The sequence below is a fragment of the Homo sapiens genome, chromosome 7, assembly GCF_000001405.40.
Source record: "Homo sapiens chromosome 7, GRCh38.p14 Primary Assembly".
NCBI lineage: Eukaryota > Metazoa > Chordata > Mammalia > Primates > Hominidae > Homo > Homo sapiens.
Genome location: NC_000007.14, coordinates 101,539,327 through 101,553,805, shown reverse-complemented (window position 1 = coordinate 101,553,805; position 14,479 = coordinate 101,539,327). Strand labels below are relative to the sequence as shown.

General features: G+C 55.7%; 1 protein-coding gene across 6 annotated transcripts in view, besides 2 other annotated features; it reads right to left on the bottom strand.

Annotated features, from left to right (window-relative positions):
* Window positions 1-14,479, bottom strand: part of COL26A1 (collagen type XXVI alpha 1 chain) — a 196,637-nt gene that overhangs the window by 5,219 nt on the left and 176,939 nt on the right. For 4 of the 6 annotated variants that reach the window (XM_017011744.2, NM_001278563.3, NM_133457.5 and 1 more), the window contains exons 5-11: window positions 13,757-13,913; window positions 9,710-9,808; window positions 8,316-8,468; window positions 6,567-6,650; window positions 4,583-4,635; window positions 2,663-2,698; window positions 430-480 (exon numbers count right to left, since the gene is read on the bottom strand). In XM_017011744.2, coding sequence (XP_016867233.1) covers window positions 430-480; window positions 2,663-2,698; window positions 4,583-4,635; window positions 6,567-6,650; window positions 8,316-8,468; window positions 9,710-9,808; window positions 13,757-13,913 — 633 coding nt within the window. The remainder of the gene's footprint in view (window positions 1-429; window positions 481-2,662; window positions 2,699-4,582; window positions 4,636-6,566; window positions 6,651-8,315; window positions 8,469-9,709; window positions 9,809-13,756; window positions 13,914-14,479) is intronic. The other 2 variants (XM_017011743.2, XM_047419882.1) reach the window with 1 other exon arrangement.
* Window positions 10,704-10,998: a silencer, noted in NCBI's record as "tiled region #7535; HepG2 Repressive non-DNase unmatched - State 12:CtcfO". NCBI's record gives its function as "represses a minimal TATA promoter and a strong SV40 promoter by Sharpr-MPRA in HepG2 cells {active_cell/tissue: HepG2}" and the evidence as "EXISTENCE:reporter gene assay evidence [ECO:0000049][PMID:27701403]".
* Window positions 11,012-11,680: an enhancer, noted in NCBI's record as "H3K27ac-H3K4me1 hESC enhancer chr7:101185407-101186075 (GRCh37/hg19 assembly coordinates)". NCBI's record gives its function as "activates a minimal SCP1, AML or CMV promoter by ChIP-STARR-seq in naive H9 embryonic stem cells {active_cell/tissue: H9 hESC(naive)}" and the evidence as "EXISTENCE:reporter gene assay evidence [ECO:0000049][PMID:30033119]".

The window sequence follows — 14,479 nt, the reverse complement described above, 5'->3', positions numbered from 1 at the left end:
GCAGCCCTGTCCCCTTCAGTCCCCCAGCACCCTTGACCTTGTAAGCACGCCCATGCCGAGACGCCATTCACGGGAGAACCCGGTCCGTTGAGAGGGACTCTGCAGCCTGACGCCTCCTCCAGGGAGACTGTCTTTCCTACAAGTTTGCGACTCCTCTCCCTGTCCCGGGAAGCCCCCCCAAGGGCCAATCACCCCCTCTGTGGCATCCCCACCCAGCCACCTTCTCACTCTCTTGCAATCACTGCTGTACTCAGCTGAGTTCCCATGGGGCTGTGAACTTCTCAGGGCAGGGGCCCTGTACACCCGGTGGCCCAGCACCCAGCTCGGGGCTGGCTGACGGTCAGCGCAGATCTGTGGGGCACCTGCCCTCCCGTGACAGTGCTCACAGCCAAGGAGGCGGGAGGGAACGTGAAGGGCAGCCATGGTTACCTCTGCAGTGGCGGCTTTCTCTCCTTCTTCCCCCTTCACGCCAGGTTCACCCTAAGAAGCAAGTCACACAGTCAACACTGGAACGGGAGGTGGGGGCACCTCTCCACCCTCTCCAGTTCCCTGGGGGCCTGCAGGGAGTCAGGGGCAGGCTGGGCAGGCAGGGCCTGGGAAACGGGTGCTGGGCCCAGGGGACTCCTGCCCTGGGCTGAGCACAGCAGGGGAGGCCACGGCTCCGGGGCACAGCCTGCTCAGCCTGGCATGGCAGGGAAGTGTCCAGGGTTGGCTGTAAGTGCTTCATTCTGCTTCTGGGGCAGAAGAGACTCAGGCTAGGAAGCCGGCAAGTTCATGCCTGGGCCCTTCCAGGATTGAGTAGCCTGCCTGGAAGGGCTGCTGTCTGTCTCCAACACAAGGCCAGTAATACCAGATTCAAAGTCACATATTTTATTGTATTTTATTTATTTATTTATTTGAGATGGAGTTTCACTCTTGTCACCCAGGCTGGGGTGCAGTGTTGTGATCTCGGCTCACTGCAATCTCTGCCTCCTGTGTTCAAGCGATTCTCCTGCCTCAGCCTCCTGAGTAGCTGAGATTACAGGCATGCGCCACCATGTCTGGCTAATTTTTGTATTTGTAGTAGAGACGGGGTTTCACCATGTTGGCCAGGCTCATCTCGAACTCCTGACTTCAGGTGATCTGCCTGCCTTGGCCTCCCAAAGTGCTGGGATTACAGGCGTGAGCCACCGCACCCAGCCAATTTTTTGAGACAGGGTCTTGCTCTGTTGCCCAGGCTGGAGTATAGTGACGCGATCATGGCTCACTGCAGCCTCTACCTCCTGGGTTCAAGTGATCCTCCAACCTCAGCCTCCTGAGTAACTAGGACTATGGGCACGCACCACCACAACCCAGCTAATTTTTTAATATTTTTATAGAGATGGGGGTGGGTCTCACTATGTTGTCCAGGGTGGCCTTGAACTCCTGGCCTCAAAATGATCCTCCTGCCTTGGCCTCCCAAAGCACTGGGGTTACAGGTATGAGCCACCACCATGCCCAGCTCACAGTAACATGTAAATGTCCAGCTACTACTGTGTGGCCTTGAGTGGGTCACTGTACTTCTTGGTGCCTCAGTTTTCCCAACTGTAAAATGGGATCAGTAATAGTATCTATCTCATCTGTTGTTAGGAGGATTAAGTTAATCAATAGGGACAATGAGCTTAGATTAGAGCCTGGCACCTAGAAGTGCCATCATTGTGTCTCCTGTGTTGTGTTTGGTCACTAGACAAGCACGGGAGGAGGCATGGCTTGGGAGCTTGACACTCCCTGGTTCAAATCCAGGCTCCACCACTGCCTCGCTGTGTGGCTTTGGGCAAGTTACTTAACCTCTCTGAGCCTTAGTGGCCAGTTTTGGCAAACGGGGATAATAAAGCATGGTCTCTTGGGGTCGCTGTGAAGCTTACATGCGCTGTGGGGGAAGAGAGCACCTCCACTGTGGCCAGCACATAGTAGGTGCTCAGCAAAGCTCCACTCCTCCTCCCCGCCCCACACCCCTACAGTGAGGCTTGGGCATCAAGGAAGCGCCTGACTCCTTGGCCCTAGAGGCAGGAGTCTATACTCATAATTTTTTTTTTTTTTTTGAGATGGAGTCTCACTCTGTCACCCAGGCTGCAGTGCAGTGGCGTGATCCTGGCTCGCTGCAACCTCTGCCTCCGGGTTCAAGCAATTCTTCTGTCTCAGCCTTCAGAGTGGCTGGGACTGCAGATGCGTACCACCACACTCAGCTAATTTTTGTATTTTTAGTAGAGACAGGGTTTCACCATGTTGGTCAGGCTGGGAGACTCATAAGTTCTTGTTTCCAAGAAAGTCGATTAAAGGAAGGCTGTCTAAGCCTATTTCTGGGAGGTTCAGAGAAAAGAAGGGACTTCCCAGGTCACACGGCATGTTAACCTATGGCCCCAGGCCACACAGCGCATGAATGAAAGGCCAGGGTCACACAGTGCATTAATCCAGGGCTGCAGGCACTCAGGACTGTCAGCGCACTCTCTGGAGGTCGCTTCCCTCCTCACCCCGCAGCAGGAGGCGATTTGAGTCCTTTCTCAGTCCCTCCCTGTTGCCTGAGCTCCAGCAGGGCCACCCAGGGCTGAACCCCCCCACCAACCCCCGCCACCCAGTGCCCTGGGCTTGCATCAGAGCCTCTGCCTGGGAGTGGCCCAGGCCCATCTGCACAGCCCACACTTACGGACGGCCCCACTGTGCCTCGCTCTCCAGCCAGGCCCTGCAGAAAACCAAAGGAAGCGTGTGAGGCCTGCCGGTCCTGGCCAAGTCTCCAGTGCCCTCTGGCCACCCCCCTCCCCGCCCACTGTGCTCTGAGTCTGCAGAAGAGGAAGGGAGAGGAGGATGGCCCGGCCGGCACGGGAAGGGCAGACTCAAAGGCCTCCAGTCCTGGAGCCACCTGGAGCTGCTATTGACTAGGGACCCCAGCTGAGCCCTCAGTCTTCTCACCTGCAAAATGGGCCAATGCCACGTACGGCTGTCAGGCAGAGAAGGGGAGCAGGTGGTCCGGTGTGTGGAGAGAACTAGTGATACTAACAGCGATGGCCAGGGTCCCACGTGTGCTGATGTCAGCCCAGACGGCTCCCGGGAGCCCCAGGCCCGTGTCCAGCTGTCCCCTGACATCGCCACCCAGCTGACCATGAGGTGCCCACTCCCCCTCTCTCCAAAGGGAACTCCTGGTGCCCCCCATCCCGAAGCCTCCCCTTCTCAGGAAATGCCTCCCTGGTCCTCCCAGCTGCTCCTGACAGACACCAGGGAGTGAAACTACAGCCTTCCCTGCCCTTCTCACCAGACTTATTCCATTGGCCAGACATGCCGAGTCTACTTTCTATTTTTACATATTTAATTAATTAATTAATTTTTTTTAATGAGACAGGGTCTTGCTCTGTCACCCAGGCTGGAGGGCAGTGGTGCCATGAGAGCTCACTGCAGCCTCCAACTCCTGGGCTCAAGCCATCCTCCCATCTCAGCCTCCCAAGTAGCTGGGACTACAGGCGCACGCCACCACACCAGGCTAATTTTTAAATTTTTTATAGAGATGGGGTCTTGCTATGTTGCCCAGGCTGGTCTCAAACTCCCGGGCTCAAGCGATCCTCCCACCTTAGCCTCCCAAAGTGCTGGGATTACAGGCGTCAGCCATCTCACCTGGCCCCTCAGAGGAGCTTTTTAAAGATGTAAATAAGATCATGGAATCACCCTCCCTGAAACTCAATAATTCCATCCACTGTAACAAAAGCCCACACCTGGGACCCGTAGATAAGGCCCTGCCCACTGTGCCTCATCCGACACCACACACTCCATTGCTCACTACCTGCCAGCCTTTTCCCTGCCTCAGGGCCTTTGTACCTGCTCTTCCTGACTTCTGACAGCTGCAGAGGCAGGGCGAACCTGGGGTTAGGGGCTGAGTCAGGCTTGGGGTGCCGCCTCCCCATGGGCAATTCTCAGGGCAAGGTGAGGGGCTGAGGCAGAGATTCTGTGACCTGGCCCAACTCTGCCTACACCCTCTGTACAACCTCAGGCAGCATCTGGTCTCTCTGGGACTCAGTTAGCTCATCTGTGAAATGCGAGTGATGCTAACACCTCCCTGGCATAACAGGAGGAGGATATACTCAGCAAAGAGTCACTGCTGCTAATAAAATTAAAATCTCGGCTGGGCGCAGTGGCTCACACCTGTAATCCCAGCACTTTGGGAGGCTGAGGCGGATGGATTACTTGAGGTCGGATGTTCGAGACCAGCCTGGGCAACATGGTGAAATCCCATCTCTTACTAAAAATACAAAAATTAGCTGGGCGTGGTGGCGTGCGCCTGTGGTCCCGGCTAATCCGGAGGCTGAGGCAGGAGAATCACTTGAATCCAGGAGGTGGAGGTTGCATGAGCTGAGATGGCGCCACTGCACTCCAGCCTGGGTGACAGAGAGAGACTCCATCTCAAAAATAAATTTAAAAATAAATAAAACAAAATAAAATAAAATCTCACCGGCCAGGCCGACTGGCTCCTTCCTGAGTGACTCTTGCTGGTAAAAAGGTGCTTCTTCTCCCCTAGGGAGACAAGGCCACCCGCCACCCGCCGCCTCCCACACCCTACCTAAAATGGCAAAGTCCTTACCTGGGATCCAGGTGTTCCTGGGGGTCCTGGGGGACCTCGAGGCCCAGGGGGACCTGTGGGCAGAGTCACAGATGGTCACCTGGGGCCAGAGAGGGGGCGCCCCCAGCCTCCCACCCCAGCACCTGTTCTTGATCTGTCTCCATGGGAAGTAAAGGAGGGTTTGGGAATGAATGGTGTGGGGAGGAGGGAGGCACACCCCCTCTCAACGAGGTCTCCATCCTCGGAGCCCAGGGTCCTCTCCACCGGCTGCCCACAGCTCCCACACCTCCTCCTCCCAGGGCCTCGTCCACGACGCAGCCCCAATCCCGAGACCCGGCAGGCAAGGGAGGAAGTCCGTCCAGACTGCTCCCACGCCCCAGCCAGTTGGTCCCCTGGTACGTCTCTCCGGTCTTTCCCGCCTCGGGACCTGGGACCCATCCCTCTTGCTGGGGTTACTATAACAGCCTCCTGATCATCGACCCTTCCTATGGCCCCCAAGAGTACACTCTCAAAAATCCAAGCCCAGTTACATCCCTTTCAGGGCTCCTGAAGTCCTCAGCCCGGCCCCTTCCCACCCTCCCTGCCCCAGCCAGACACCCTCCTGGCGTCTCTGCTAAAGCTGTCCTTCCTCCTGGAGCCTCCCTATTCCTCCACTCTCCCAGCAAACCCTTTCCTACTGGTTTTCCTACCAGTCTGACACAGAGCATCACCTCTTCCAGGAAGCCTTCCCAGCTTTCCACTGCTTCTCCAGGCAAATCCCTTATGTAAACCAGCCACCGCCCATGGCCACTGAGGTTTACACGTCTGTCTGCCCCATGGGATGTGGAGTACCCAGAGGGCCGGGCTGGGTCTCATGTGTGTGCCCAGCTCAGGGAGGGAGATTCATGACTAATCTCCAGCCTGCTAGGAAGAGTAAGGTCTTGGTCTCTCATGACCCCACACGGGCCCAGGGAGGGTCTCTCATGATCCCTCCCTGTGGTGCAGGGAGCCGCATGTTGGGCTGTCCAGCATGGCCTGGCTCCCAGGTTTGGAGAGGGCATGTGAGGACAGGCACTCCAGGGGACAAATGTCAGGAGTCTGTCCAGTTCTCCAGAGACCTGGCATGTCACCTGAAGGCCCCCAGGTACCCTCTGAGCTTACTCCCTCTCCTCCCTAGAGCATCTTCTGAAATGTCACGTTTTGACGGCGCCTCCCCGCCACGCCCCAGCTTCTCCCTTGTAGCTCCCTCAGATCCTGTCGAAGTCACAATTTATGATGATATTCCTGTCCTCCACCAGAATGAGAGTTTCTCGATGATGTTTGTTTTGATTATTCAGGAGTTCCGGGAACCTAGATCACTGTCTGGCACATGTAGTGGCAGATGTTCAATGAATGTTTGTGAGACGCACAGAGAAATGAATGAATGAATGAATAAACGAATGAATGAATGAACGAATGAATGAATGGACAAATGAATGAATGAATGAACGAATGAATGAATAAATGAATGAATAAAAGAATGAATGAATCAGTGAATAAACAAATGAATGAATGAATGAATGACTCCCTTCCCGGGCAGAAAGGGACAAGGCAGTCAGCCCTGCATTCTTCCCCCAATGAGGAATGTGGATGATGGAAGGTCAGGCCAGGACTGACAGCCAGGTCCCAGCCCCTTTGAACCCCTTGGTTTCTGCCTCAAAGGTAGGGACTTCCTGCCACCTCTGTCCTGACCCCATCCCCCACTGGTGTGTGTCCCACTCTGGCCCATGCAAGGGCAGCCTCATGCAGGCATCTTATTCCAGCAGAATCACGTGGGTTTCATGCATCCAGTCCCCCAGGGGCACTGCCACTAGGAAACGAGGGGCTTCATTTCCTGCCACACAGCGGGTGGGACAGACCCAGTCCCCAGCATTGCCCAGAAGCCATGGACCGCCAGCCGACCTCCAGCTCCCCTCAAGGCCCCATGGCTCAGGCCAGCCCTGGGGGGATGGAGTCCTCAATGCAGGCCAGCCCACCATTCACTTACCTGGTGGACCAGGGGGACCCCGGGGTCCTGGGACACCTGCCAGCACTGTGTCCACGATGGCAGAGGCCAGCCTTGAGTCTCCATCTGTGGGAAGAGCGGAGCGGCCAGGGGTCTGGTGGGGCAGACCTGGCAGTGCTGGGAGGCTGGTCCGGGGCACTGAGCCCTGAGCCAGGCCACACGAAGCCCAGGGGGGCTCCTCCCATCACCCTGGGGCCCGCTGCAGATACTGTTGCCCCCACTGCTCAGAGGAGCACGGAGAGGCCCAGACAAAGAGCAGGGAAAGCCAGGTCGGTCAGCTTCATATAAAACATAAATACCTTCTAGAACATTCCAGGCTCTTCAGACTCTGGGTCTGCCCTGCTCACTTCTCCAATGCCCCAGGCTGGCATCTTCTTCCAGGCTCCATCCCACAGGCCCATCCTGCTGCACCCAACTGGCTCACTCCTCCAGGAAGCCCTCCATGCCCACCCCTCTGAGCTGTGCCTGGGGAGTCTGATTACATCATGGCGACCACACTGCCTGGAGCAGGGGTGGAGTCTGTTTAACAACCCATCTCCCATGGCCCTCCAGGATGAGCCCCTCACCTGATTCACCCTGGCCAATCCTGAACCAGACCCAGGGCCCCAGGGCAATGCCATCACCTTCCTCATAAAACCCTTCCCCAGGCTGGGCACAGTGGCTCACACCTGTACTCCCAGCACTTTGGGAGGCTGAGGAGGGAGGATCACTTGAGGCCAGGAGTTCAAGACCAGCCTGCCCAACATAGTGAGACCACATCTCCAGACCAGCCTGGGCAACATTGTGAGACCCCATCTCCACTCAAAAAAAAAAAAAAAAATTAGTTAGATGTGGCGATACATGCCTAGGGTCCTAGCTACTCAGGAGGCTGAGGTGGGAGGATCCCTTGAGCCCAGGAGTGAGAGGCTGCAGGGAGCTATGATGGCGCCACTGCATTCCAGCCTGGGCAACAGACCCTATGTCAAAAAAAATTAAAGTAAAAATCTTCCCCAGTTGCCGGGACACTTAACCAGAAATGATGCTCCTCTCAGGGCTCACGGACTCCTCTGCCTGGCCTCCCACTACCTCATGGTCCCTTAGGCCCAGAGTCCTGGTCCCGTCCACTCTCTGCACCTCCTTGTCCCCACCTCCCAAGGTAGAAGTGGACATTTCTGTGTGTTCAGAGGCTCTCTTGGACTGGCCGGTGCCCCCGAGGGCCGGAGTTTGTTTTGCACATTGCTGTGTCCCCAGTGGCTAAAATCCTGTGCCTTGCACATAGTAGGTGCTCACTAAACACCTGCTGAATGACCTGCAGTGAGGGCGGGTGAGGAACAAGTACAATAAGGGATAACCTTGGTGGGGTGGGGTAGCCAGGTAGGGAATCTGGGCCAAGTCAGCCAGCAGAGTGAACTTTGGGGCTCACAACCCCAAAGGCAGGGAGCTGAGCACTGAGGCAGAGACAGGCCACTTTGGGGCCAAAAGCAGGGCTTGGGGCTAGCCCTGGGTCCACTTGAGGATGCTTAGCCCCAGGACCAAGCCTTGCTCCCAAGCTGTTCCCTGTCATCGTCACTGGCAGGCCCTGGACACTGCATGGAGGGCTTCCTGGAGGAGGCCTGCAGGAGTGAGCCAGTTGGGTGCAGCAGGATGGGCATGTGGTGGGGTCCACTTCCCAGGATCCTTTAAGGAAGGCTGATCCCTCCCAGAACACAGCGTAGCTCAGCCCTCCCTTGGCCCCCCAGGGGCATTACTCACTGTCTTTGTCTGTAGGCGGCTGCAGGGAGTAGAGGGCGCCCTGGGGGCTGTTTGGTGAGGGGCCTGGGTTGCCTGCTGGGCCGGGTGGTCCTGGGGGGCCGGGGCGCCCCATCTCTCCAGGAAGCCCACGGGGCCCTGGAGGCCCCAGGAGCCCTGCAATGAGGAAAAGAACAGTCACTGTGGCAGCCGGAGCCTGGCGGGTGGCTGCAACTTACAAATGGGGAAACTGAGGCCTTGAAAGAAACAGGGTTGGTCAGGGGCCCACAGGCAGTCAGTGGTGACCTCCGATCCACAGTCTTCCTTGGGGGTGTCCTGGGGTGTAAATGAAATGGGCTTCCCTTCCCAGCCCAGTCCAGAGGGGACACTTAGTGGCAGCTTGGGAGGGTGAGGGGGGCAGGGACGGTGAAATCAGCAAAGGCTCTGGCCAGAGGCCCATTGGTCCCTCCCAGGGACTTCAGCCCTGTGGCAGGAACACCAAGTATAAGCCACCATCCTGGGCTGGCCCTGTACCTGCTGAACCAGGGGTCCTTCCCCGGCAGGACCCAGGAGGAGTTGAGAGGGTGGTCTCTGGAGGTGTTTAAATGGCTGAGAACTGCTCCTGGCCCCTGACAGCCTCGATGCTCATGCCTGTACCCGAAGCCCCTGAAGACCCTGTTTTGGCCAGGTGTTGTGGCTCACCCCTGTAATCCCAGCACTTTGGGAGGCCAAGGCAGGCAGGTCACCTGAGGTCAGGAGTTCAAGACCAGCCTGGCCAACATGGTGAAACCCTGTCTCTACTAAAAATACAAAAATTAGCCAGGCATGGTGGCAGGCACCTGTAATCCTAGTTACTCAGTAGGCTGAGGCAGGACAGTTGCTTGAACCTGGGAGGTGGAGGTGTCAGTGAGCTGAGATTGTGCCACCGTGCTCCAGTCTGGGCGACACAGCACAAGACTCCATCTCAAAAAAAAAAAAAAAAAAAAGCCAGGTGAGGTGGTGGCTCACGCCTGTAATCCCAGCACTTTGGGAGGCCAAGGTGGGTGGATCATCTGAGGTCAGGAGTTCGAGACCAGCCTGACCAACATGGTGAAATCCTGTCTCTATTGAAAATACAAAATTAGCCAGGTGTGGTGGCGCATGCCTGTAATCCCAGCTACTCAGGAGGCTGAGGCAGGAGAATTGCTTGAACCCGGGAGGCAGAGGTGGCAATGAGCCGAGATGGCATCACTGCACTCCAGCCTGGACAACAGAGCGAGACTCCCTCTCAAAAAATTAAAAAAAAAAGACCCCGTTTTTCTGGTACCCAGCAAGATCAGGGCTGTGGGTGCGTGGGACACCTCGCCTGTTCCAGTAGAGAAGAAAGCCCAGCCCCTTCCGCAGGTTGACAACATCACATATGTGGGGGGTTTTCTTACCAGGCGGCCCCGCTGGACCCTTCTCTCCTGTCTGGCCTCGGTCACCTTTAGACCCGGGGGGGCCTGCAGGCCCTGGTGGTCCTGTCTGCCCCGGGGGCCCTGGGGAGAGAAGGAGACAGGGCATCAGAACATGGTGGACCCCCAGCCTCCAGTGGCTCCAGGCCTGGCCCCCTGGGCTGTCAGCCTACGTTCCCCCAGGAGCCCTGCCTACCTGGGACTCCCTAAACAGGCAAAGGCACTCACATCACCTTGGAGCTGGTTATTACAACTTACAAACCAGCTTTGCACTTACAAACATCTATGATTCTAAGAACTGCTTTCGTTCCCATTTTCAATGTGGGGAAACTGAGGCTCAGGAAGGTTGGTCCCTTGCCCAAGCTCACACAGCCAGGCTGCAGATGAAGTTGCTTAGCTCCAGGTCCCTCTCTCACACCCTGCTGTCTCTCTGCTTAGGGTCAAGAACCGGGCTTGTGGCAAAGTGCTCCCCAACAGGTGGCCTCCGAGGAGGCCCCAGGAGGTCCTGAAGGATGGATCTTCCCAGCTACAGATCTCTAAACCCCAAGGGTGGACAAGGAGATGGAGAGGTAAGGCTTGCTGTGTGGCCAGGGGACAGCCTTTTCTCCCTCTGGCCCAGAGAGGATGCTGAAAAATGTTTGCTCAGCACCTTAGGAGGCTGAGGCAGGAAGATCACTTGAGCCCAGGAGTTTGAGACCAGCCTGGGCCACATAGTGAGACCCCATCTCTACAAAAGATACAAAAGTTAACCGGGCATAGTGGTGCACGCCTGTGGCCCCAGCTACTGGGGACGTTGAGGTGGGAGGATGGCTTGAGCCCAGGAGGTCTGGGCTGCAGTGAGCTATAATCACACCACTGCATTCCAGCTTGGCTTACAGAGCGAGACCGTCTCAGAAAAAAAAAAAAAGTTTGCTGATCTGATGAAGGGACCTGCACTGAGTCTTAGGGCCCTTTGCACTCTGCCTGCATGGGACTGTGGTATGGTGGGGAGGGCCTGGCTGGGGGCTGCTGGCCTCGGAAGAGCCCCACCTGCGCTCTGGAATCCAGGTTGGCTGCAGGTGTCACCATGTGTAGAGTGTGTGCCCCACCTGGTGGCCATTCTTGAAACTGCATTTTCCCCTGGTTGGAAAGGTCTTGCCAGGCATGCGCTTTCGTGGGCCTGGGTCCCCGGTGGGATGGGAAGCCCCTCCTCCTCCATCCCCCAAGAAAGATCTGAAGAATGTGGGCATGAGGTAACGCTCTGGGGGTGAGACCTTAGGGACAGCGGCTCGAGGGGTAGGCCGGGGGCCAGAGTGAGAGAGGTCCCCCTTCCCGTAGGAGACCTGAGCTCGGCCCTCCTCCCGCAGCCTTCAGTCCCTTTCCAAGAATGCAGGATACCCTACTCTCCTTCCCCGGCCCTGGGACTGGCCACTGGAGGCCACCTGTGTCATGCATCTCTCCTCCCTGCTCTGCCCCTGCTCCCCAACCCAGCATCAGAATAGACACTCAGAACAGAGGGCAGAGGGAGAGCGCCCCCTCCAAAGGGCTCTAAGGGCAGAGAATCATGGAGGCAAAATGCCCCCAGCTTGCTGGCTTGCTGGGTGACCCCAGGGGTGTCACTTAACTTCTCTGAGCCTCAGGTGTCTCCCCTGTAACCTCAAGGCTTCCAAGCTTTGTGTGAAGATTAAGAGTGATATCTGTAGGCTGGGTGCGCTAGCTCACACCTGTAATTCCACACTTTGGAGGCCGAGGCGGGTGGATCACTTGAGGTCAGGAGTTTGAGGCCAGCCTGGCCGACATGGTGAAACCCCGTCTCTACTAAAAATACAAAAATTAGGCTGCGTGTGCTGGCTCACACCTGTAATCCCAGCACTTTGGGAGGCCAAGGAGGGCAGATCATTTGAGGTCAGGAGTTCAAGACCAGCCTGGCCAACATGACAAAACCCCTTCTGTATTAAAAATGCAAAAAGTAGCGGGGCTTGGTGGTGCGTGCCTGTAATCCCAGTTATTAGGGAGGCTGAGGCAGGGGAATCCCTTGAGCCCAGGAGGCAGAGGTTGCAGTGAGCCGAGATCACGACACTGCACTCCAGCCTGAGTGATAGAGTGAGACTCCATGTCAAAAAAAAAAATTATATCTGTATTTGAAATATTTTCATATCTGATATGAAAATATTTAATAACTGGCACAGTGCAGATCCTGACCACTCATGGTAGACCTCAGCCTTCAACCCCTGGATTCAGCCTTATAGACAGGTGTTGTTTGCTAAATGTCCTCCAGGATAAAGCCCCACCTCAGTGTCTGGCAACCAGGAGGGCTTCATCGATTGCAACTATGATTATTACAATTGTGATTAAAGCAAAGGTAATTACAGCCCCAGGTGGCAGAGCCCAGACCAGTAGGTAGAATCTGCAGAGGGAAAATTCTTCCCCTTAACTTTAAAATGTGGCCAGGGCCAAGCATGGTGGCTCACACCTGTAAATCCCAGCACTTTGGGAAGCCGAGGCATGAGGATTGCTTAAGGCCAGGAGTTTGAGACCAGCCTGGCAACGCAGTGAGACCTCGTCTCTACTAAAAATTAAAAAAAAAAAAAAAAGCCAAGTGTGGTGGTGTGCACTCGTAGTCCCAACTACTTGGGAGGCTGAGGCAGGAGGATCACCTGAGCCTCGGAGATGAAGGCTGCAGTGAACTATGATCATACTACTGTGCTCCAGCCTCAGTGACAGAGCAATACATTGTCTCAAAATAAAATAATAAAATAAAATAAAATTGTAAAAGTGTGGCAGGAAGGCAGGGGGGCAGATGTCCTCCAATTCCAGCCAGAGAGTTCAGAGAGCAAACCCCAGAAAGAGGTGGGAAGCAGTAAGTTCCTGCTCCCTGGCCAGGCAGAATGCTGCAAAATTGAACCCAGCAAGGCTGGGCTGGGGGCCATAAGTGCAGAAGCCAAGGAGCAGGGCAGATACTGAAGACAGTAGCTGAGCTGTAAGACAATAGGGAATGGTGGGGACTGCGGCAAACTGCACAGCCTGGACTGGACCTACAGTGGCAACCCAGTAGCTGGTTGTTTCCATGAGGGACTGCCAGCCCTGATGGCCAATTTTCTCATTTTTATTTTTATAATTTTTTGTAGAGACAGGGTCTCACTATGTTGCCCAGGCTGGTCTTGAGCTCCTGGCTTCATGCAATCCTCCCACCTCAGCCTTCCAAAGTGCTGGGATTATAGGTGTGAGCCACTGCACCTGCCCAAGATCATCTATTTTTTTGAGACAGGGTTTCACCCCGTCTTCCAGGCTGGATTGCAGTGGCATGATCTTGGCTCACTACAGCCTCCACCTCCCCAGCTCAAGCAATTCTCATGCCTCAGCCTTAGGAGTAGCTGGGATTAATCATGCTGGGCTAATTTTTGTATTTTCAGTAGAAATGGGGGTTTTACCATGTTGCCCAGGTTGGTCTCGAACTCCTGACCTCAAATGATCCACCTGCCTTGACCTTCCAAAGTGCTAGGATTACAAGCATGAGTGAGCCACTATGCTCGGCCAGATGGTCTACTTTTTTTTTTTTTTTTTTAGACGGAATTTTGCTCTTGTCCCCCAGGCTGGAGTGCAGTGGCGTGATCTCGGCTCACTGCAACCTCCGCCTTCCGGGTTCAAGCGATTCTCCTGCCTCAGCCTCCTGAGTAGCTGGGATTACAGGCACCTGCCTCCACGCCTGGCTAATTTTTGTATTTTTAGTAGAGACAGGGTTTCACCATGTTGGCCAGGCTGGTCTCGAACTCCTGACCTCAAATGATCCACCCTTCTCGGCCTCCCAAAGTGTTGGGATTACAGGCATGAGCCACTGCACCTGACCAGATCGTCTACTTCTTAAGAGAAACTAGAAATCCTGGCTTTTAGGTGAAATACCCATTTTCAACTGTTAGCTTAATTTTTCAAAATGCCACATGGCATGTTGGAACTAGAGTGTCTAGTGTGTGGCCTCTCTAGGGAGGCCCTGGGAGGCCATGCCCAAGGTCCCTTCGGCTGCCCCAGCCTGTCCTCTCTGCAGCCCTCACTCACCGGCTGGGCCCGTGGGCCTTCTCTGTCGTGGCACAGGGTGAGCAAGAGGGATGGCGTCGGGGAGGAAGTCCTCATTCCAGGTCGGCGGAGTGCTCTCGGGGGCTGGCAGGTCGTTGTCCGGGCTGGAGGGCCGTTCTGCTGCTTCTAGCAGGAGGACCTGGGCCAAAGGAGATAGAGAGTCAGGTCCCAGTTGGGCCTGACACATAGGGACATGCGTGACACACAGGGACATGCATGTGCACCCCATGAGACCTGCAGCTGTCCACGCTGTGTGTGCCCCGTCACGCTCCTTAGTGGGAGAACCTCACTCGTGGCCCAGGTTCCCTCCATCCCAGCCCTCTCCTCCTTCTGACATCAGGAAAGTCTTTCTGGACCCTCAGGTTCAAGGAGTGCCCTTCAGACACCGTCAAAGTCCCTGTGCTGGCTGGGAGTGGTGGCTCATGCCTGTAATCCCAGCACTTTAAGAGGCTGAGGCTGGAGGATCACTTGAGGCCAGGAGTTTGAGACCAGCCTGGGCAACACAGTGAGACCCCCATCTCTACAAAAAATAAAGAAAATTAGCCAGGCGTGGTGGCACACGCCTGCAGTCCCAGTTACTCAGGAGGCTGAGCCCAGGAGTTCAAGGCTACAGTGAGTTATGATTGTGCCACTGCGCTCCAGCCTGGGTGACAGATCGAGACCACATCTACAAAAAGAGAGAGAGAGAAAAAAAAAGCACACACA